The sequence below is a fragment of the Homo sapiens genome, chromosome 19 (genome assembly GCF_000001405.40).
Source record: "Homo sapiens chromosome 19, GRCh38.p14 Primary Assembly".
Taxonomy (NCBI): domain Eukaryota; kingdom Metazoa; phylum Chordata; class Mammalia; order Primates; family Hominidae; genus Homo; species Homo sapiens.
This window is the reverse complement of record NC_000019.10, coordinates 58083842-58106419: the sequence shown is the minus strand read 5'-3', so window position 1 is coordinate 58106419 and position 22578 is coordinate 58083842. Positions and strand designations below refer to the sequence as shown.

General features: G+C 52.5%; 1 protein-coding gene across 10 annotated transcripts in view; it reads left to right on the top strand.

The window, feature by feature from the left end:
• Window positions 1-22578, top strand: part of ZSCAN18 (zinc finger and SCAN domain containing 18) — a 34585-nt gene extending 12007 nt beyond the window's left edge. The window contains exons 1-8 of one of the 10 annotated variants that reach the window (XM_011527239.4): window positions 8189-8246; window positions 13022-13192; window positions 16034-16555; window positions 17583-17732; window positions 19016-19104; window positions 19412-19514; window positions 20154-20246; window positions 21041-22578. In XM_011527239.4, coding sequence (XP_011525541.1) covers window positions 16153-16555; window positions 17583-17732; window positions 19016-19104; window positions 19412-19514; window positions 20154-20246; window positions 21041-21735 — 1533 coding nt within the window. In that variant the 5' untranslated portion in view covers window positions 8189-8246; window positions 13022-13192; window positions 16034-16152 and the 3' untranslated portion in view covers window positions 21736-22578. Of the gene's footprint in view, window positions 1-8188; window positions 8491-13021; window positions 13193-13635; window positions 13705-16033; window positions 16556-17582; window positions 17733-19015; window positions 19105-19411; window positions 19515-20153; window positions 20247-21040 lie in introns of those variants that run through there. The other 9 variants (XM_011527238.2, XM_006723335.3, XM_017027169.3 and 6 more) reach the window with 9 other exon arrangements.

Below are 22578 nucleotides of genomic sequence, written 5' to 3'. Positions count from 1 at the left end.
GATGTCTTTTTTTCTTTTGAGACATGGTCTCATTCTGTTGCCCAGGTTGGAGTGCAGTGCTGCAACCATGGCTCGCTGCAGCCTCGACCTCTAGGCTCAAGTTGTCCTCTCACCTTAGCCTCCTACATAGCTGGAACTACCAGCATGCACCACCACGCCTGGCTAATTTTTTTTATGTTTTGTAGAGACGGCATCTCACCATATTGCTCAAGCTGGTCTTGAACTCCTGTGCCGAAGTGATCCTCTTGCCTCATCCTGACAAAGTGCTAGTATTACAGGTGTGAGCCATTGTGCCTGGCCTAGAATGCTCTTAATGGCATCTAGCATAGTGAATCATTTCCAGAAGGTTTTTAATTTACTTTCCCTGGATCCATCCAAGGAATCATTACTATCTATGGCAGCTATAGCCTTACAAAATACATACCTTTTTTTTTCTTTTTTGATAAGGATTCTCACTCTGTTGCCTCGGCTAGAGTGCAGTGGCGCGATCTCAGCTCACTGCAGCCTCTGCCACCTGGGTTCAGGCGATCCTGATGCCTCAGCCTCTTGAGTAGCTGGGACTACAGGCATGTACCACTATGGCCGGCTAATTTTTTATTTTTAGTAGAGATAGGGTTTCACCATGTTGGCCAGGCTAGTCTTAAACTCCTAAGCTCAAGTAATCCACCTGCTTCAACCTCCCAAAGTGCTGGGAATACAGGCATGAGCCACCACGCATAGCTGCAAACTGCATTCTTCTTTTTTATTTTTTATTTTTTTGAGACGGAGTCTCACTCTGTTGCCCAGGCTGGAGTGCAGTGGTGCGATCTCTGCTCACTGCAAGCTCTGCCTTCCGGGTTCATGCCATTCTCCTGCCTCAGCCTCCCGAGTAGCTGGGACTACAGGCACCCGCCACCACGCCCGGCTAATTTTTTGTATTTTTAGTAGAGACTGGGTTTCACTGTGTTAGCCAGGATGGTCTCGATCTCCTGACCTCGTGATCCACCTGTCTCAGCCTCCCAAAGTGCTGGGATTACAGGCCACTGCGCCTGGGCCAGCTAAACTGCATTCTTAAATAAGAAGACTGGAAAGGCAAAATTATTACTCCTTGGTCCATGGGCTGCAGAATACACGTTGTGTTGGCAGTTGCGAGAACAACATTAATTTCCTTCTATGTCTTCATCAGAGCTCTTGTCAGTGAGCAGCCATAATTTGAATCTTTTTTTCTCAGGAGGAAGTCTCTCAACAGTGGGTTTAAAATATTCAGTACACCATACTGTAAACACGTACTGTCATCCAGGCTTTGTTTACATTTATAGACAGCACTCAGAGTAGATTTAACTTAAATCTTAAGGCCCTAGGGTTTTCAGAATGGTAAATGAGCTTTGGTTTCAACTTAAAGTCACCAGTTGCATTAGCCCTTAACAAGAGTCGGCCTGTTCTTTAAAGCTTTGAAGCTAGGCACTGACTTCTTTCTAGTTGTGAAAACACTACCTGGCATTTCTTCCAACAGAAGGCTGTTTTCTTTACATTTAAACTGTTGTCTACTGTAGCGACCTTCCTCAGTGATCTTAGCTAAATCTGGAGAACTTGCTGCAGCTTCTGCATTAGCACTTGCTGCTTCACCTTGCACTTTTATGTTACGGAGATGACTTAAACTTCATGAACCAACCTCTGCTAGCTTCAGACTTTTTTATTTTATTTTATTTTATTTTATTTTATTTTATTTTATTTTATTGAGATGGAGTCTCACTCTTTTGCCTAGGCTAGTGTGCAGTGGCATGATCTCGGCTCACTGCCAACCTCTGCCACCTGGGTTCAAGCAATTCTCATGCCTCAGCCTCTTGAGTAGCAGGGATTACAGGCACTTGCCACCATGCCTGGCTAATTTTTTTTGTATTTTTAGCAGAGATGGGGTTTCGCCACGTTGACCAAGCTGTTCTCAAACTCCTGACCTCAGGTGATCTGCCCATCTCTGCCTCCCAAAGTGCTGGTATTACAGGCATGAGCCACCACACCCGGCCCAGACTTTTTTTTTGTTTTGTTTTGTTTTGTTTTGTTTTTGAGACAGCCTCACTCTGTTGCCCAGGCTGGAGTGCAGTGGCACGATCTCAGCTCACTGCAACCTTCGCCTCCCAGGTTCAAGCAATTCTCCTGCCTCAGACTCCTGAGTAGCTGGGACTACAGGCGCACGCCACCATGCCCAGCTAATTTTTGTATTTTTAGTAGAGGTGGGGTTTCACCATGTTGGCTAAGCTGGTCTTGAACTGCTGACCTCAGGTGATCCATCCCGCTTGGCCTCCCAAAGTGTTGGGATTACAGGCATGAGCCACTGTGCCTGGCCGGCTCAGAATTTTCTTCTGCATCTTCCTCGCCTCTCACAGCCTTCATAGAAATGAAGAGAGTCAGGACCTTGCTCTGGATTAGGCTTTGGCTTAAGAGAATGTTAGTTCTCTTTGGGTAGTTTGATCTCCTATCCAGACCATTAAAGCTTTCTCCCTATTGGCGACAAGGCTGTTTCAGTTTCTTGTCATTCACATATTCACTGGAGTCACACTTTTCATTTCCCTCAAGTTTTTCTCTTGGCCATCACAATTTGGCTGTTTGGCACAAGAGGGCTAAGTTTTGGCCTGTCTTTGACACGCCTTCCTTACTAAGCTTAATCATTTCTAGCTTTTGATTTGAAGTTAGAGGTCTGACTCTGCCTTTCACTTGAACACTTAGTGGCCATTGTAGGGTTATTAACTGGCCTAAGTTCAATATTGTTTTGTCTCAGGGAATAGGGAGGCCTGAGGAAAGAGATTGAGAGAGAGTGCGTACCAGCGAGCAATGGCAGGTTGGTGGAGGAATCAGGACACACAACATTTATCTGCTGAGTTCATTGTCTTATATAGGCGTGGTTCCTTTCACTCCAGAACAATTACAATAGTTACAACAAAAATTACTGATCACAGATCACCATAACAGATAATAATAATGCAATAGTTTGAAGTATTGTGAGAATTACCAAAATGTGACACAGAGACACAGAGAGCATATGCTGTTTGATAAATGGTGACAATAGACTTAATTGACACAGGTTGCCACAAACCTTCAACTTGTAAAAAATGCAATATCTGCATAGGATAATTAAGCAAAGTGCAAGAAAACAAGGTAATGCCTATATCTGGAAGTTAGTCGTGACACAGAACCTAAAGACTTACCGTATTTCCTTTATTCTGTGATACATATCTTGCCATATTTTAACATCTGAAAACAAACCAGGTTAATCAGTGATATGGTTTAATTGGCAGCCTTTTTTTATTTTTTTATTTTTTTTTAGAGAGAGTCTCGCTGTGTCACCCAGGCTGGAGTACAGTGGTGCTATCTTGGCTCACTGTAGCCTCCACCTGCCAGGTTCAAGCGATTCTGCTGCCTCGGCCTCCCAAGTAGCTGAGATTAGAGGTGCACACCACCACACCCAGCTAATTTCTGTATTGTAGTAGAGACGAGGTTTTGCCAGGCTGGTCTTGAACTCCTGACCTCAGGTGGTCCACCCACCTCGGCCTCCCAAAGTGCTGAGATTACAGGTGTGAGGCACTGTGCTAGGCCTCAGGCAGCCTTTTATTAGCACATAAAATGTACATGTTACCATCTGTTATCTTGGAATCAATGAAATAAGAGTAATATCAGAAGGAGGAATTGAATGACTAGTGAGAGTCCATTTGAGGAGAAATACAACTCTCAAGGAAAAAATCTTGTTGCTGAGATGACAATTAACATTGACATATCCGATGCAGTACAAAATGGCAAGTCTGTGTGCCATTGTAGTCCTTCCTACCTTGCTGAATAATCATTGTTACCTGCCTTCTTTCTTATAGCCTGTGTCAGCCATAATTGTTATTTTATTGCAAGATTTTTAAAGTTCATAATGTGGGGGGAAGCCAAACAGCACAGAAGAGTATATGGTTTGTTTGTTTGTTTGTTTGTTTGTTTGTTTTGAGATGGAGTCTTGCTCTGTCGCCCAGGCTGGAGTGCAGTTGCGTGATCTTGGCTCTCTGCAAGCTCTGCCTCCCGGGTTCACACCATTCTCCTGCCTCAGCCTCCCTAGTAGCTGGGACTACAGGCGCCCGCCACCATGCCCGGCTAATTTTTTTGTATTTTCTTGGTAGAGACAGGGTTTCACCGTGTTAGCCAGGATGGTCTCAATCTCCTGACCTCGTGAGCAGCCCACCTCGGCCTCCCAAATTGCTGGGATTACAGGCGTGAACCACTGCGCCCGGCTGAGTATATGGGGTTTTTTAGTAAGCTGCCTAAACAGGGAAAAGTCACCGTCCTTATGGAGCTTCTACTCTAGCTTTTATACTGAAATACCTTTTGGTCAGTAATCGTGTGTGTGTGTATGCATGTGTGCATTTTGAGGCTTTTATTTATAAAAGAAAACATAATATGCCTGGAAGCTAATAGGTGCTCATTTAAGTGTGTGATCTCTGGCTGCTTAGAAGGCCTATATAGGAAACTCAACCCTAATTAAAGAAAAAAGTTATGTGAAATTACATGAACACACTGGTGCAGGACCATGTAAATATTAGCAGCATGGTTAGGAGTGAGATTCTGTCTCAAAAAACAAAGAAAAAAAAAAGGCTGGGTGCGGTGGCTCACACCTGTAATCCTAGCACTTTGGGAGGCCAAGGTGGGCGAATCACCTGAGGTCAAGAGTTTGAGACCAGCCTGGTCAACATGGTGAAACCCCGTCTCTACTAAAAATACAAAAATTAGCCAGGCATGGTAGCACATACCTGTAATCCCAGCTACTCAGGAGGCTGAGGCAGAAGAACCACTTGAACCCAGGAGGCAGAGTTTACAGTGAGCTGAAATTGCATCACTGCACTCCAACCTGGGTGACAGAGCAAGACTCTGTCTCAAAAAAAAAAAAAAAAAAGAAGAAGATAAAGTATATGGGAAAGCACAAGACTTGGAATAGTTAAAATAACTTTGAAAAAGAAAAAAAGTGGCCGGGCGCAGTGGCTCATGCCTGTAATCCCAGCACTTTGGGAGGCCAAGGCGGGTGGATCATGAGGTCAGGAGATCGAGACCATCCTGGCTAACATGGTGAAACCCTGTCTCTACTAAAAATACAAAAAAAAAAAAAAAAAAAAAAATTAGCTGGGCATGGTGGCGGGCGCCTGTAGTCCCAGCTATTCGGGAGGCTGAGGCAGGAGAATGGCGTGAACCCGGGAGGTGGAGCTTGCGGTGAGCCGAGATCGCGCCACTGCGCTCCAGCCTGGGCAACTGAGCAAGACTCTGTCTCAAAAAAAAAAAAAAAAAAAAAAAAAGTGGGAGGAATAACTGCACCTGATGTTGTTACTCTGTAGCCGTGGTAACCCAATGTGGTATTGGCAGACACATAGATCAGTGGAACGGAATCGAGAACCCGGAAATAGACCTGCAAAGATATTCCTGACTGATTTTTTAAGGAGCAAAAGCTATTCAATGCAGGAAAGATAGCCTTTTCCAGATGGTGCAAGAACAATTGGCCATCTGTGGTGTAATAAAACCTACATTTCATCTTTTTTCTTTTTTTTTTTAGATGGAGTTTTGCTCTTTTGCCCAGGCTGGAGTGCAGTGGTGCGATCTCAACTCACTGCAGCCCCTGCCTTCCAGTTTCAAGCTGCCTCAGCCTCTCGAGCAGCTGCAATTACAGGCACCTGCCACCATGCCTGGCTAATTTTTGTATTTTTAGTAGAGCCAGGGTTTCACCATGTTGACCTCGTGATCCGCCCGCTGGCCTCCTAGAGTGCTGGGATTACAGGCATGAGCCACCGCGCCTGGCCCTTACATTTGATCTTTATCCCTGGTTCCTGGCACAGAGCTAAAAGCCTTGGAATTTTGTGAATAATAGGAATAGGGTTTGCAATTCATAAGGAGCCCGTTTCGACCACACCTGAGTTTATGCTAATGAGGTGACTCCAGTGGGACCCATAGATATCTTCAGGATGGGGATAGTCACCTTAAAGAAGGTATGGACCCTCTCTCTGCCCCACGATTGAGAGAGCTGGGTTGGTGAACACATCTGAGTGCTGGGAGGATGGCTCACCCAGACGGTACATGGATGCACTGCACCTTCAGTGCCCCTGACCAGACCTTAGCTGTGCATCTCTTCCATTTGGCAGTTCCTGAGTTATATCCATTAAAATAAACTGGAAAGACTGGGCATGGTGGCTCATGCCTGTAATCCCAGCACTTTGGGAGGCCATGGTGGGAGGATTGCTTGAGCCCGGGGGTCTGAGACCAGCCTTAGCATTATAGTGAGACCCCATCTCTTAAAAAAAAAAATTAGCTGGGTATGGTAGCGCACACCTGTAGTTCCAGCTACTCGGGAGGCTGAGGTGAGGATCACTTGAGCCTGGAAGGTCAAGGCTGCAGTGATTCATGATGGCACCACTGCACTCTAGCCTCAGTGACAGAGTGAGACCTTGTCTCAAAAAAAAAAAAAACATAGCTTTCAAAACTGAGCAATTTTTTTAAAAATTAGAAAATGGGCAAAAGATACGAACAGATACTTTAATGAAGAGGGTATACAAATGCCAAAAAAATCATTAAAGTGTGCTCAAACTTGTTAGCAATTAAGGGAAATGCAAATTGAAACCACAATGATATATCAGTACATACCTATCAGAATGGCCAAAATAAAAAATAGCAAAACACAAATGCTGATAAAAATGTGAAGTGGATTCACACATTCATTGGTGGTGGGAGTGTAAAATGGTCCAGCTACTCTGCATGAGAGTGTGGCAGCTTCTTACAACACTAATAAGCACGTGTTCATTGTGTGACCTAGAAACTGCACTCTTGGGCTTTTATCCCAGAAAAGTGAAAACTTACGTTCACAGAAAAATCTGTACACGAATGTTCATAGCAGCTTTATTTTTAATAGCAAAATACTTAAAACGATCCTAATATCTCTCAGTGGGAGAAGGTTTAAACTGCTATATACCATAGAATACTACTTCTCAATAAAATGGAATGAACTGTTGATACATACTACTTCAATGCCTCTCAAAGGAATTATGTTCAGTGAAAAAGCCAATCTGAAGAGGCCACATACTGTATGATCCCACTTATATGACACTGTGAAGGCAAAATTGTAGCAGTGGACTACTTAGATTAGCTGTTCCTGGGGTTATGGGTGGGGAGGGAGTGACTACCAAGAGGCAGCAGGAGGATTTTTGGGCAGTGGAGCTATTCTTTGTCCCGAGTTTGTTGGTGGATATGAGTTAAAATTCATAAAACTGAATACCAAAATGTGTGGTGTATGTAAATTTAAAATATATAAACTGTTCAGATATACATTTTAAAAATCAGTTCACACAAAAACGACCAAAATGGCATCCTCATAAGCGCCTCTATCTGGAAAACTGAAATGGGAAGCAGCTCCTGGCCCTATCCTGCCTTCCAGGGGGGCTACATTTATATGGGGCTTTGCCAAAGCCCTCACCCCAGCTGCCACTCACATTTCCCTCATTTCAGCAGCTCCTGAATCCCTGGGGTGGGTAATCTTTGAGTTCTATCCACTCCTTGAAACTGTAGAACCCATTTTAGCGCATCAGTGTCTCTGGGTCTCCACCTCTTGTCTCCCCAGTACTGGGTCTGCTGGTCCCTGTCTCTGTATCTCTGTCCAGATCTGTCTCAGCCTCGAGTGCTCCTTTTCTCTGGGTCTCTCTCTTTTCCTGAGCCTGAGCTGGTCTCTTTCTTTTCTTGAGCCCATGCTGGTCTTTCCCTTTCTTGATCCTGGGCTGGTCTCCCTCCTTTCTTAACCGTGAGCTGGTCTCTCCCTTTCCGTGTCCGACTCTGTACATCTCTGTTTCGGGGACCCCAGGGCGTCTTGGTCTGCCCCCGAGCGTCTGTGGGCCTTCATGCTTCTCTCCCTCCCGGTCTGCGCGTCTTTTTGTCTTTGTTTCTCCGTTTCTCACCGTCTTTGTTTCTCCGGGTCTCTGGCTGTCAGGGGTCTATTATTTACCCGCTTGTTTACTTCGTTGCCATGGTGCCCAAAATGACGCAGGCGCCGGAGTGGGCGGGACGCCGGGAGGCCACACTCGCGTCTGATTGGCCATGCGCACTGTCACCTGTCACGGCTCCCTTGCTCGCCCCGGTGCGCGGCACAGCCTCGCGGCATTGTGGGAGTCGTAGTCCGCGGTGAGGCCCAGTGCGCAGGCGCAGTTTGCCGGCCGCCATCGCGCACTGGGGCTCCGGGCGGCTGGGACCGGCCTGGGGTAGCTGCGCAGCAGGTGGGTCGGTCCCGGGGATGCAGCGCGGGGGTCAGAGAGCGACCCCAACAGGGTAGACGGTGAGGACGCCTCAGTGGGCAGCGTTAGGGAAAGGGGCCAGGGTGTTCCCGGGGTTGGGGTGCGAGCCCCCGCTGTGCGTCCAGGAGGCCGAGGGTCTGGCATCCCTTCGCGTGGAGTGCGGGGCAGGGGCCGGGTCCCCCCGGAGGTGGCTGAGATCCAGATCGGTGAGGGGCCCTGCAGGCAGGTAGGGAACTAGTGCAACCCCCACCCCGTGTAGGCTCGTGGAGGGGAGGCGCTTAGGGCACCCTGTGGGTGGGAGAACAGGAAGGGGCGGCTCCTGATGGGGGAGAGATGAGGGAGGGGGAGGCTCCTGATGGGGGAGAAAGGGGGGAGGGGAAGGCTCCTGAGGGGGGCGAAAAGGGGGAGGGGGAGGCTCCTGAGTGGGGAAGAGAAGGGAGGGGGAGGCTCCTGAAGGGAAGAGGAGGGGAGGAAGTGGGGGCTGAGGGTGTGAGGATGTGAGGGTGTCCGTGGTGGGGGGACGCTGGGCAGGCTGTGGCCCCAGGGGCTGGAGCAGGGAAGGGATGGAGGGTGCGGGGACCAAAGGGGTGCCTAGAATGGGCATTGTCTCTGCTGCCCCCACCCTTGGAATATCTCGCCTCTCCCCAGTCACCTGGGGGTGGGTTCTGTTTGAGTTAGGTGTCTGCGCCCACCCCGGAGACCTCTCTCGTGGAAGAGGCAAGAGTGGGTGTACTGGCTTCGGTCCTGACCCAGGGGGTTGGGGTGGGGGCCTGACTCACCCTCCCATCACTCCTTCCCCATTTCCTTTCTCTCACCCTCCTGGGCTCCTTCCTTTTCCCAATCCCCCTCTACCCCCGTCCAGACTATCTGGCTTTCCCTGCTCTTGCTCCTTCCTCTCCTGTCTTCTCTCTCCCTGCTACCTTCCCTCCCCGCTTCCCCCATTTCTGTCTGCCCTCCTTCCACTTTCCCATATATTCGCCTGTGTCCTTGCTGACTCCTGGGCGAGGCTGAGTGGCACAGTCACTTGGTTCCATGTCACCTCCTCGGTTCCATTTCACTTCCCCCATCCCATCATGTCCTGCGGATGGTTTCCTGCCCTGGAGTCAGAGCGGGACCACGTGTCGCATCGAGTTGCTGTTTTCTGTGCATGATGCTTGAATCTGTGACTTCCTGGGTATTTCTGGCCTCGGGTTTTCGGGGAGCCTAGGCCAGTTGCGCAGGACATCTCTCTGGTTCTGTCTGTCCTGGCGAGTGGATCAGGGACCACAAAAGGCAGCTGAGATGTGAACGACGACCCTTACTCCATGTTTTTTCATTCTTTTAAAAGCACTTTTACCCCTTTTTATAATGAGTAAGTGATCTGTGGATGAAGCCAGGGCAGACCCTGGGAATATCCGGCGACCCATCAACAACCACATCCCATGCATTGAGCTTCCCTGGCTGATCCTCAGGCCTGTGGCTGTGGGGTGGTTTGCTAGACCCTGCCGATGAGTGTGGTGGGATGGAGAGCTGCGATGAATATTCCTCAGGTGGCCAGGGCTGGGCCCACGGAGGGCCAAACCAGGCTTGAGCTCTGCTCAGCCCAGGATGAAGGGGATTTGCTGCAGGACTCTGGAGACCCACCAGGCTTGGGACCCCTCAGCTCAGCCACCCCTCACCCACCGTGGAGCTCTCTGCCTCAGCTTCTGTATTCCAGGCCTCTGGGTGCAGCAAAGCCTACAGGACTGGCTCAAGACTTGTGCAGATTGCTTCATTTGCTGAGGCTGGGGGGCTGGGCTCCAGGAAAATCCCATCTGAGGCAAATCCTGGACAGTCCCAAGATTAGGGGAGGGAGGTTTGCCCAGTGACCAAGCCAGACTCCAACGAGGTGTGGCCTCATTCAAGCAGGCTGTGGCAGGAAAGGGTCCCAGTGGTATCTCTATTTTGTTTGTTTGTGAGACACGGGCTCATTCTGTCGCCCAGGCTGGAGTGCAGTGGCCAATCACAGCCTCCAACTCCTGGGCTCAAGCAGTCCTCCTGCTTAAGACTCCCCAGGCTCTGAGATTATAGATGTACGCTGCCGCACCTGCCCCGGTGAGATCTCTGAGAGTCCTCTTGACAGTGTGGCCAGGAATGGGGCTGAAGGAGGCAAGAAGACACAGGGCCAGAGATTTCTGGAGGCTCTTGAGATGGCCTCATCCTCCTGGCTGTGAGCATCAGGGTCCCAGTAGGAAGGGAGATGAACAGGGAGAGGCTGTTTTCACAGGAGGCAGCAGCTTCCTTGGAGTTGGGCGTTTTAGGAGACCCCTGGTTCCATGGAAGCTTCTGCTTTGCAGGTGAATGGAGGAAGTGGAGGCAGAGGTGGCTTCCCAGAGAGGCTCACAACTTGTAATGCTGAGGGGGAAGGGCACAGAGGCGAGGAGCTCCCGTTCCTGTCCCCAGGGGCTGACATGTGTCCCCCACTGTCTTGGCCAGTGACCCAGCCGGAGGGTGTCCCGTCCTCCCCACGTCATCCCGCCCCTGCCAATGGCCGAGGACCCTTGCTCATTCTACCTAGACCCCGATGCCTCCACCATGCTCAGAGCTGGGAAGTTGGAGCAGGAGGAGAGGGGCTGGGGGAGCTGGCTGGGATCTGCCCACTGTGGAGGCCATGAGGGCTAGAGGGGAGGGCCGGCAGGAGGCCTCTTAAAGGGCAGGCTTATGGGCCTGGACGGGGAAGGATGAGTGGCAGCGTCACTTTGCAGGTGGGGTCCCAGCCTTAGTGATTGCCTGCCTCGTGCCTCTATTTCCCACTTGCACCTTGGGGCTGCATGTGGTTCCTACCCCTCTGGGATTGTGAGGTTCTGATGAGGGAAGGTTCTGTGCACACACATTATGGAGCTCACAGTTTGTTTTGTGGAGACAGGTTCTCTGCAAGGTGAACAAGCCTCTGGCGTCCTAAGAAAGCCAAAATTACATGCCTGCAGGACCACACCTCTGTCCATGCACCAAGTAGAGCTCTGTGCCTCCATTGCCAGGGGGTAGAGCTGGCGTCACGCCTCCCATCAGGAGAGGCTCCAGAACAGGGGTTAGCGTACCCACCTGCAGGCCAGCAGTGACCTGTTTTGTTTGTATTCATTAGAGACAGGATCTTGCTGTGTCGCTTATGCTGGAGTACAGTGGCACAAACATAGCTCACTGCAGCCTCCAACTCCTGGGATTAAGGGGTCCTCCCACATTAGCCTCCCATGTAGCTGGGACCACAGGTGTGTGCCACCACGCCTGGCTAATTTTTTTTTTTTTTTTTTTTTTTTTTTTTTGCGACAGGGTCTCACTCTGTTACCCAGGCTGCAATGTGGTGTTGTGATCACAGCTCACTGAAGCCTTGACCTCCTGGGTTCAGGTGATCCTCCAACCTCAGTCTCCAGAGTAGCTGGGACCACAGGCATGCACCACTGTGCCTAGCTAATTTTTCTATTTTTTGTAGAGATGAAGTTTTGGTATGTTGCCCAGGCTGTTCTTGAGCTCCTGGGCTCAAGCTGTCCACCTACCGTGGCCTCCCAAAGTGCTGGGATTACAGGTGTGAGCCACCACACCTGGCCACCTGTTTTTGTAAATGAAGATGCATAAGAACATGCCAAACCTGTGGGTACGCACAGGGCTCTGGTTGCTTACTTGCCACGAGGCAGAGTTGAGTAGTTGAAACTGAGACTGTCTGGCCCTTTATATCTGCTATTCTCTGTTCCTGGAGGATGAATAAGAGGATGTATTTCTTTTTTTTTTTTTTGAGACAGAGTCTCACTCTGTCGCTCAGGCTGGAGTGCAGTGGCGCGATCTCGGCTCACTGCAAGCTCCGCCTGCCGGGTTCACACCATTCTCCTGCCTCGGCCTCCTGAGTAGCTGGGACTACGGGCGCCTGCCACCATGCCTGGCTAATTATTATTATTTTTTTTTTTGTATTTTTAGTAGAGATGGGGTTTCACGGTGTTAGCCAGGATGGTCTCGATCTCCTGACCTCGTGATCTGCCTGCCTTGGCCTCCTAAAGGAGAGGATGTATTTCTAATCCCAAGGGAAAGAAACCCTTTTTAAGTGGGTTTCTGAACTCCGAAGTCCAATTTAAAAAATGGTTGAAGGCTGGCTGCAGTGGCTCACTCTTGTAATCCTGGCACTTTGGGAGGCCGAGGCGGGTGGATCACTTGAGGTCAGCAGTTCGAGACCAGCCTGGCCAACATGGTGAAACCCCGTCTGTACTAAAAATACAAAAATTAGCTAGGCATGGGGCAAGTGCCTCTAACCCCAGTGACTCGGGAGGCTGAGGGAGGAGAACTGCTTGAACCCAGGAGGTGGAGGTTGTGGTGAGCTGACATTGTGCCACAGCACTCCAGCGTGGGTGACAGGGCGAGACTCCGTCTCCAAAAAAAAAAGTGATTGCATTAGATAGTAAGAAACATTAGGACATTACCTGTGACCAAAAGACAGCGTGGAGTGAAAAGACAAGCCACAGATGGGGACAGTAGCAAGATAGAGCCAGACAGGGAACTCGTTAACTGGTTGACAGAAAGAGCTGTAAAGAAAAAGTCACGGGAAAGTGGGCAGTTTACCCGCCCTCAGAGATTAAATCATGAGAAAGCGCTCAGTCACAGAGCAGGCAGATGCTTGGGTCTGAGGGTCCTCTGGCAGCAGGTGGAGTGTGTGAGGAGAGAGGGCACCCCGGTGGGGGCTGCCATAAGTAGGTGACGGTCGTGAGGTTGTCCCCTGTGCCCTAGCTATCCTGCTTCTCCATATGTCCTTTAAATAGATCAGAAAGGACCCCACAGAGATGGACATGAGGGTCCACAACTGCCAAAAACAAATGAGGCACAGCCAGCATACCCCTCAGCAGAACTGCACTGTTTGCACAGTCCACACACACTGAGCCAGCTCTGCCCAGGCCAAGGGACCTGCCTGTGAAGAACCCTTACTCTCCTGGGTATGCATTCCAGTGGGGGAGGCGGTCAGTAGGGAGGTAAAAGGCGGGGGCAGTGAGCGGGTGTCAGGTGGGTGCGTGCAAGGAGTGCAGAGGAAAAGTCTCCCGGAGGGGCCAGTTGAGAGCTCAGGCCTATGAGGTAACAAAAGGGTGGGGGTGGGTGCAGTGGCTCACGCCTGTAATCCCAGCACTTTGGGAGGCCCAGGCAGGCGTATCCCTTGAGTCCAGAAGTTACAGACCAGCCTGGGCAACATAGTGAGATCCCTGTCTCTACAAAACAAATTAAAAATTAGCCAGGTGTGGGTGATGTGCACCTTTAGTCCTAGCTACTCAGGAGGTTGGGGTGGGAGGATCACTTGAGCTCAGGAGGTTGAGGCTGCAATAAGCTATGATCATGCTACTGCACTCCAGCCTGGGTGACAGAGTAAGACCCTGTGTTTAAAAAAAAAAAAAAAAAAAGTAGAGGTATCGTGGTGGTGGTGATGATGGCACGGCATGGCTCTGTTCTGCTTGAGGTAAGTGGAAGCTTGTGTAGAATGTCTTCCAACAGCACTTAAGAGTTCCGCACTTCCCTTTAAACTCTGGTAGCCACAGAGAGAGAGGTTGATAGTTGACTCTCTGCAAACTTCTGGTTCTTTTTTTTTTTTTTTTTTTTGAGACAGAGTCTCGCTCTGTCACCCAGGCTGGAGTGCAGTGGCATGATCTCAGCTCACTACAGCCTCCACCTCCCAGGTTCAAGCGATCCTCCTGCCTCAGGCCTCCTGAGTAGCTGGAATTACAGGTACCCACCACCACACCCAGCTAATTTTTGTATTTTTAGTAGAGAGGGAGTTTCACCATGTTGACCAGGCTGGTCTCGAACTCCTGACCTCAGGTGATCTGCCTGCCTCGGCCTCCCAAAGTGCCGGGATTACAGGCGTCAGCCACTGTGCCCAGCCCTGTTTTTTTGTTTTGTTTTGTTTTTTAAACAGCTTATTGAGTGTAATTTACATACTGTGAGGTTTACCTATTTAAAGTGGACAGTTCATTGGTTTTTAATATGCAGTACTCACCGTTGAGCATTTTCACCAACCAAAGAAGAAATCCTGTACCCATTAGCAGTCCCTCCTCATTCCCCCAAACCCCAGCCCCTGGCAACAGCTGATCTACATTTTGTCTCCATAGATTTGCCTGTTCTAGATGTTTCATTTCTGTGGAATCACACACCACACCCCACCCCACAGCGGTGAGGTCTTTGCGCCCCATATTCTGGTGGAGCACTGTCAGAGCAGAACTTGACGACCTGAGAAGGGCTCACAGCACCTGGCCTGGTGTGGTTTACTCTATGGTTTTCCCTATAAAACTGGGCTTGCTGCGGCTGTGGGAAATCCCCTTCCAGCTGTCTCTGTGGACCTTCAGACCCAGGCGGTTCCTGGGAGAAGGTGGACAGCTGCAGTTCACACCCTTGTGTGTCCATAGCCAGTGACATGAGAGCCCGAGGCCGACTGGAGGCCTGGACAGCTGTGACCCGCTGGGTTCTGTTTAGTGAGCTCATTGTTGGTGCACAGTTACAATCAAGAGAGTTCATCCTGAATACTGGCTTCACTTAATGATAGGGCTGCCCTGTATGTGGGGATTCAGCTGAGGGTGGGGCACAGGTTGGCAGGACCTGAACTCTCTCAGTCATTGTGGTCTCCCCCACCCCCCACCCCCCATTGTCCTTGCTCCTGGGTACTTCCTGCCCCTCCCGCCTGGTTCTGTGGATGCTTTGGTCAAAGCCTACATCCTGCACCATTTCCAGAAACGGGGAGGTGGGTGGTTGTTCAGTGGCCTCCAGAGGGAGCCCCCCGCTCCCTACGCTTTTTTCTAAATAATTTTATTTCAGATTTGTGGTGGTTTTAACTGGAGGAACAGTCTTGACACCTAGCTCCTTCATGTTATTAGAAATTGACATCCCTATAATCTATCTTTTTTTTTTTTTTTTTTGAGACAGAGTCTCACCGTTGCCCAGGCTGGAGTGCAGTGACGCAGTCTCGGCTTACTGCAACCTCTGCCTCAGGGTTCAAGCAGTCCTCCTGTCTCAGCCTCCCAAGTAGCTGGGAATACAGGCACCCACCACCACACCCAGCTAGTTTTGTATTTTTAGTAGAGACGGGGTTTCACCAGGTTGGTCAGGCTGGTCTCAAACTCCTGACCTCAGGTTATCCACCCATCTCAGCCTTCCAAAGTGCTGGGATTATGGGCGTGAGCCACCGCGCCTGGCCTATTTCAAGGTTTTTACATCCAGGTTTACATAGAGATTGTCAAGTAATTTTTCATTTTCATCCTATTCATGACTGATTTTTTAAAATTCTGGTAATGATGCTGGGCGCAGTGGCTCACACCTGTAATCCCAGCACTTTGGGAGGCTGAGGCGGGTGGACCATTTGAGGTCAGGAGTTTGAGACCAGCCTGGCCAACATGGTGAAACCCCATCTCCACTAAAAATACAAAAAGTAGCTGGGTGTGGTGGTGCATGCTTGTAATTCCAGCTACTGGAGAGACTGAGGCAGGAGACTCGCTTGAACCCGGGAGGTAGAGGTTGCATTGAGCCGAGATTGCGCCACTGCACTCCAGCTTGGGTGACAGAGGGTGACTCGGTCTCAAAGAAAAAAAAATTCTGGTAATGCACAGAATGAGTTACCCTCCATTTACATGCTACTTTTTATCTACATGAGTACAACACTGAGGTTCTACTGATGCCTAACAAGCGGGTTTCTTGGAAATCTGTGTGAACTCTGGGTGTGGTGTCTTTGTTCTCTGGCAGCTGGGGTGGCTGCGCCCTGGCCTTATGCAAGGCCATTGCCTTGTCCGTGTCCTCTGCAGGTCTGTGGGTTCTGGCACCACCTGAGCCCACTGGGCATCTGGTCATCCCTGGCACCTCTCCTTTGGAGCCACCTTGTCCCTGGCTAGACAGTCACATTTTCCAGTGCCGTTTTGGAAAGATGTTGCCTTTGGAGAAGGCGTTTGCCTCCCCCAGGAGCTCCCCAGCCCCGCCGGATCTGCCCACGCCGGGGTCAGCAGCCGGAGTCCAGCAGGAAGAACCCGAGACCATCCCTGAGAGGACCCCTGCTGACCTGGAGTTCTCCCGCCTGCGTTTCCGGGAATTTGTCTACCAGGAGGCTGCCGGGCCCCACCAGACCCTGGCCCGGCTGCATGAGCTGTGCCGCCAGTGGCTGATGCCTGAGGCGCGCTCCAAGGAGCAGATGCTGGAGCTGCTGGTGCTGGAGCAGTTCCTGGGCATCCTGCCTGATAAGGTCCGGCCCTGGGTGGTGGCACAGTACCCTGAGAGCTGCAAGAAGGCAGCCTCCCTGGTGGAGGGCCTCGCTGATGTCCTGGAAGAGCCAGGTGGGCTGTCACAGAGGAGAAGCATGGCTCAGAGGAGATGGGGAGGGGATCCTGGAAGGCCCCAGTGCCAGCCATGGCTTGCCTGAGATAGTTAAGTTCCCCACACTGCTGAGGCAGCTCCTTGGTCCTCGGGCCAGGACAGATGCCTGGGCTCCTGCCTTCTAGATGTAAGGAAGCCAGAGGAATGAGGGAAAGGGACCAGCCTCTTTTATTTACTTATTTATTTATTTATTTATTTTTGAGACGGAGTCTCAGTCTGTCACTAGGCTGGAGCGCAGTGGCGCAATCTCAGCTCACTGCAACCTCCACCTCCTGGGTTCAAGCAATTCTCCTGCCTCAGCCTCCCAAGTAGCTGGGATTACAGGCGCCTGCCACGATGCCCAGCTAATGTTTGTATTTTTAGTAAAGACAGGGTTTCACCATGTTGGCCAGGATGGTATCAATCTCCTGACCTCGTGATCTGCCCGCCTTGGTCTCCCAAAGTGCTGGGATTACAGTTGTGAGCCACCACACCCAGCCCAGCCTCTTTTTTTTTTTTTTTTTTTTTTTTTTTTTTTTTTTTGAGACGGAGTCTCGCTCTGTCGCCCAGGCTGGAGTGCAGTGGCGGGATCTCGGCTCACTGCAAGCTCCGCCTCCCGGGTTCACGCCATTCTCCTGCCTCAGCCTCCCAAGTAGCTGGGACTACAGGCGCCCGCCACTACGCCCGGCTAATTTTTTGTATTTTTAGTAGAGACGGGGTTTCACCGTTTTAGCCGGGATGGCCTCGATCTCCTGACCTCGTGATCCGCCCGCCTCGGCCTCCCAAAGTGCTGGGATTACAGGCGTGAGCCACCGCGCCCGGCCCCCAGCCTCTTAACAGTAAATATTCTGGGTACTTTGCAGGCTGGAGGTCTCCTGGTCCAAGATGAGGTGCAGGATGGGTAGTGATGTGGCCCTGGAGCCTGCAGGTCCCTGTGGTTTAACTGTGTGATTGTTGTTGGCACGTGTCCTGACCTCTTGGGGTCACAGGTCCCTCCACTGTTGACAGGGATGCTGCTGGGCTCCCCTGCGGGCTCATCCTCAATTCTTAGCGATGGAGTGTACGAGAGGCACATGGACCCTCTGCTGCTACCAGGCGAGCTCGCGAGCCCCAGCCAGGCCCTTGGAGCTGGGGAGATCCCGGCACCTTCTGAGACACGTGAGTGCCCAGCTAGCCTGGCAGCCTCTGCTGGGCCTTAGGTGGGGTGTTGGGCAGAGGCCTGTGGTTGGGAGAGGGCAGAAGGGCAGCCAGGGAGTCAGGGGCTCCATGGTCCATGCTATCATTGGGACTTCCTCCTGTAGTTTCTCTGAATGTTAGACATTGTTTATTAAATTAGTCTTCAGAGATTATGCAGATCATCCATACTTACCACAAATAGTGAAGAAACATCAATACATAAAGAAAAGAATCTCCCAACCCCCGACCATGAACCCTCTGAAAATAAAGGGTCTCAAGTGTCCTGATGCACGTCCCCTCATGTCTCCCTGCACATCACACATGCATAATCAGGGCCTGGGGTCGGGCTCTGTGTGTGTGGTGTGCTGTGTCTGAGTGCTTGCTGTTCGAGGGGTGGGTCCCCCAGGCTGTGGTTGGGTCTGGTTCTTTAGTTGCCCAGCATCGCGTGCTCAGCCCATCCCCATCCTAGAGGTGGGCTCTCTGCCCCTTGGAGTGAAGCTGCCCTGACACCTCCTGACTTGTGTGCCCATATGTGAGGCTCTGGGCACTGTGGGTGGACTCCTCAGGACCACTGGGCAAGTGGTGTGTGAGTTCGACATTTCACATAAAATAGAAACTTCCATGTGGTTTTCCAGAAGTTTTGTGGCTGTTCATTACCAGCACGGAAGGTGCCCACTGGCCTGGATACAGCCCAGCACTATGTGGTGTTGCTTTTTAGGATTTCCACGAAGGCCAGGCACAGTGCCTCATGCCTGTAATCGCAGCACTTTGGGAAGCCAAGGCGGGCAGATCACTTGAGCCCGGGCATTCGAGACCAGCCTGGGCAACATAGGGAGACCCCATCTCTACAAAAAATACAAAAATTAGCCGGGTCCGCACTTTTAGTCCCAGCTACTTGGGAGGCTGAGGTGGGAGGATTGCTTGAGTCCAGGAGGTGGAGGTTGCAGTGAGCCAAGATCATGCCACTGCACTCCAGCCTAGGTGACAGAGCAAGACCCTGTCTTTAAAAAACAAACAAACCAAAAAAAAAAAAGATTTCCATGAATCCAGTGGACTTGAATGGGCATCTCTGGGGCCACCCAAGCCCTGTGGCCACCGCGCTGCTTTGTAAATCAGGGAAAGGTGTAGTGTCCGTTGAGCCTTGGGTGCTGCTGTCACAGAAGCACACTGGGGCCTGTGTGGGAGGCAGCGGGGGCTCCTTGACCCTTGAGGGCACCTGGCCACAGGGAGCTCATTGCCTCAGCTCTGCCTCTCCTTCTCCCCAGCCTGGCTTTCTCCGGACCCCCTGTTTCTGGAACAGAGGAGGGTCAGAGAAGCAAAGACCGAAGAGGACGGCCCTGCCAACACCGAGCAGGTGGGTGGGCACGAGCAGGTGGGTGAGGGGCCTTGGCCTCAGCTTAGAGGCATCCCCCTCCCCATCACCAGTGCTCAGCAGAGGGCTGTGGCCCCAAACGTCCACAGCGCTGAGGCCCAGAACCCACCCTGGTGGGAGCGTGAGGGCGGAATCTTTGTGGTGCGAAGGGGGCTGCCTCCTGCAGTGCACCTGGGTTAGAGTCCCTGGCCAGGGCTGGCTCCTAGCCTGCTCCTGTGGCTGTGGGGCTGCGGCGGGTCCTCCCTTCTCTAGGGCAGGTGGGAGGTCTCAGCCACGACTAATGTTTCAGAAGCTGAAGTCCTTTCCAGAGGACCCTCAGCACCTGGGGGAGTGGGGCCACCTGGACCCTGCCGAGGAGAACCTGAAGAGCTACCGGAAGCTGCTCCTGTGGGGTGAGAGTCGCCTGCCTCGGGGTCACGCCCCACTCCCCATCCCCTTCCGCAGGGGTTGGTGCAGGAGACTGTGACCCCAGGGACTTTGGCTGGGACACTGTGATGTCTTACAGGATTTGAACTTGCACGTGTTGGAGCTTGAATTTATTCGCTGAAGCCCCCACCCTTTCTGATCTAAACATCTGAGTTCTGCCCAGGCCCTGCCTGTAGGACTGAAGCCTCGGAATTTGGAAAGGCCTCCTGGCCCCAAGGCGCCCACATTGCCACCCTCCTTGCCAGATACAGGGCCTCACCTGCATGGCCTGATCAAGGGTCTCCTCTTTTGTAGACGTTCTTGCCCCAGAAACCCTCCTTTTAGGGAGGCCCCCCGACTCAGACTCCTGAGCAATTTTTGTCAATGTCTTTCTTTAGCTTTGCTTTCTCTGAGTCCTGCCTCCGCCTGCCCCGTTGCCCTTCCAGCCTCGCCTTCTTCTTTGCTCCACTGTCCAGGGGCCTAACAGGGAGGTGGCCTTGGTGGGGGTCCCAGTACAGAGAAGAGGAGGTGGGCTGCAGCCTGCCCTGGCTGGCCCACGACACACAACACCCATCAGCCACTCTGTGTTGATGCCTTTTATTTCTTTGGTTTTTAACCCCACTCAGGGTATCAGCTTTCCCAGCCTGACGCTGCCTCCAGGCTGGACACTGAGGAACTCCGGTTGGTGGAAAGAGATCCACAAGGAAGCAGCCTCCCAGGTGAGGTTGGGTTGAATTGGTGTTAGGGCCGGGTGGGGTTTGCTTTTTCTTCAGAGGCTGAGGGGGCCCCTCCCAGCGCCATCAGCCCCAGCAAAGACCTCAGCATTGACTGCTTCACCATTCTCCCACCACCGTGTCTGAGTGAGGCAGGAATCCAGTTACGTCCATGGTCTCTTGCTGCATGACAGACCACCCCAAGACTTGGTCGGTGGAAACGGCAGTGGTGTTAGTTGCCAGGATCTGTGTATGACTGGTCCCGGGGGTGGCCGTTCTGCCCCATTGGAGGCTCTGTGCCAGCACACCAACAAGAACACCTAGAGGCGGACTTGGGCTGGAGGGCCCTGGGTGCCTGTCGCCAGGGGGCTTGTCGCTGGGGGGTTTGGCCTTAGCTATTGACCCCACTCTCTTCGCTGGCAGCCGGGCCCCTCCCTCCAGGAGGGTGCGCTCTGAGCAGGCTCTCCTTGCATCGTGCATCTTGTGGCCAAGCTAGTGGCCAGGTGGAGACCTCCAAAGGCGCGGTTTCCAGAACCCGGGCTCAGTGGGGCTGTCCTTCCTGTCCTGTCGGTGGCCTCCGTTGTTGGAGGCCTCCAGGTCCCACATCTGCAGCAGCAGGCGCGGGGCATGCGCTGCAGGGCTGCCTGGGAGGGACAGCGCTGCTTCCAAACAGCCGTGAGCCCCGCGGGGATCCAGAGCCCGGAGCCCTGTGCGCTGTTCCGGCAGCTGAGGCTCGGCTGGGTCCTCCTCTCCCTGGCCCTGGGCGGGGCGCTCACGCTAGGGCTCTGACCTTGTTCCAGAAGGCGGGAGGCGGCAGGAGAGCGCTGGGTGCGCCTGCGAGGAGGCCGCCCCCGCGGGGGTGCTGCCTGAGCTGCCTACGGAGGCGCCCCCTGGGGACGCCCTTGCCGATCCCCCGTCGGGCACCACTGAGGAGGAGGAAGAGCAGCCTGGGAAGGCCCCGGACCCGCAGGACCCCCAGGACGCGGAGTCCGACTCTGCCACCGGATCGCAGAGGCAGTCCGTCATCCAGCAGCCTGCCCCGGACAGGGGCACGGCGAAACTGGGAACCAAGAGGCCGCACCCCGAGGATGGGGACGGGCAGAGCCTCGAGGGCGTCTCTAGCTCCGGCGACAGCGCAGGGCTGGAGGCCGGGCAGGGCCCTGGGGCTGACGAGCCGGGCTTGTCCCGCGGGAAGCCCTATGCCTGCGGCGAGTGCGGGGAGGCCTTCGCGTGGCTCTCGCACCTGATGGAGCACCACAGCAGCCATGGCGGCCGGAAGCGCTACGCCTGTCAGGGCTGCTGGAAGACCTTCCACTTCAGCCTGGCCCTAGCCGAGCACCAGAAGACCCACGAGAAGGAGAAAAGCTACGCGCTGGGGGGCGCCCGGGGCCCCCAACCGTCCACCCGCGAAGCCCAGGCGGGGGCTAGGGCGGGCGGTCCCCCAGAGAGCGTGGAGGGCGAGGCTCCCCCCGCACCCCCAGAGGCGCAGAGGTGAGCCGCTGTGCTGTCCCGTTCCGGAGGGGCCGCTTTGCCGGCCGTGAATCCCAGACGAGGCATTGGGCCTTTCCACGCCCCTGGGTGGCGGCTTCCTGTGGTGTTTGTGGACGTCCTCTGCCTGTGCCCTGAATCCGCTCCTGAGGCTAAGCGCTCCCAACGAGAAGGGTCCACGGGAAGCCCTCACCTCTGTAAACACACCCTGGGCCAGCGCTCGCATCCGAGGGGAGCCGCCGGATGTGGAAGAAGACTCGGCTTTCCTGCAGCCATTTAGTGCCGCCCCATGCTAGGTTATTTGACATTGTGCAGTGTAGAGTTGCCTTAAAGTGCGTGATCTGCCAGTGCTTTCTTCAAGTCACCCTTGCCCCGATTCCTCCTGTTTGCGCTCCCCAGGGTTGCTCAAGTGGAAATTTTGTCAGCTGTTTAGCCTTTTCGTACTTGGCGTGATGTCAACTTCACTTCTAATCTGCAAAAGCAGAAGCTGTTTCCTAGTTTACCTCGCGTGTGTTTACCTATATGGAGTAGCTCGCAGAGATCACAGAAATGCTTGCAGCCTAAGGCAGGGTTTTCAGACCGTGGGTCCCAGCCCATTTAGTAAAATGGGAAATCAATTAGCAAGTGGTCACCAGCATTACACAGCAATGAAGCAGAATAAAGTAGGCCAGAATGCATCATGTAGTAAAGGCAAATACTGTTTTGTGAAACTTTTCACCCATACATCTAAATGTGAGAACTGGTTGCAATGTAAGACATTTCTTGCTGGGAAGTTGTGAGCAAAATAAGTTGAAAACACTAATAAAGATCTGTCTGTCTGAGCAAAGGAGACTAAACTCCTTGGGCTACA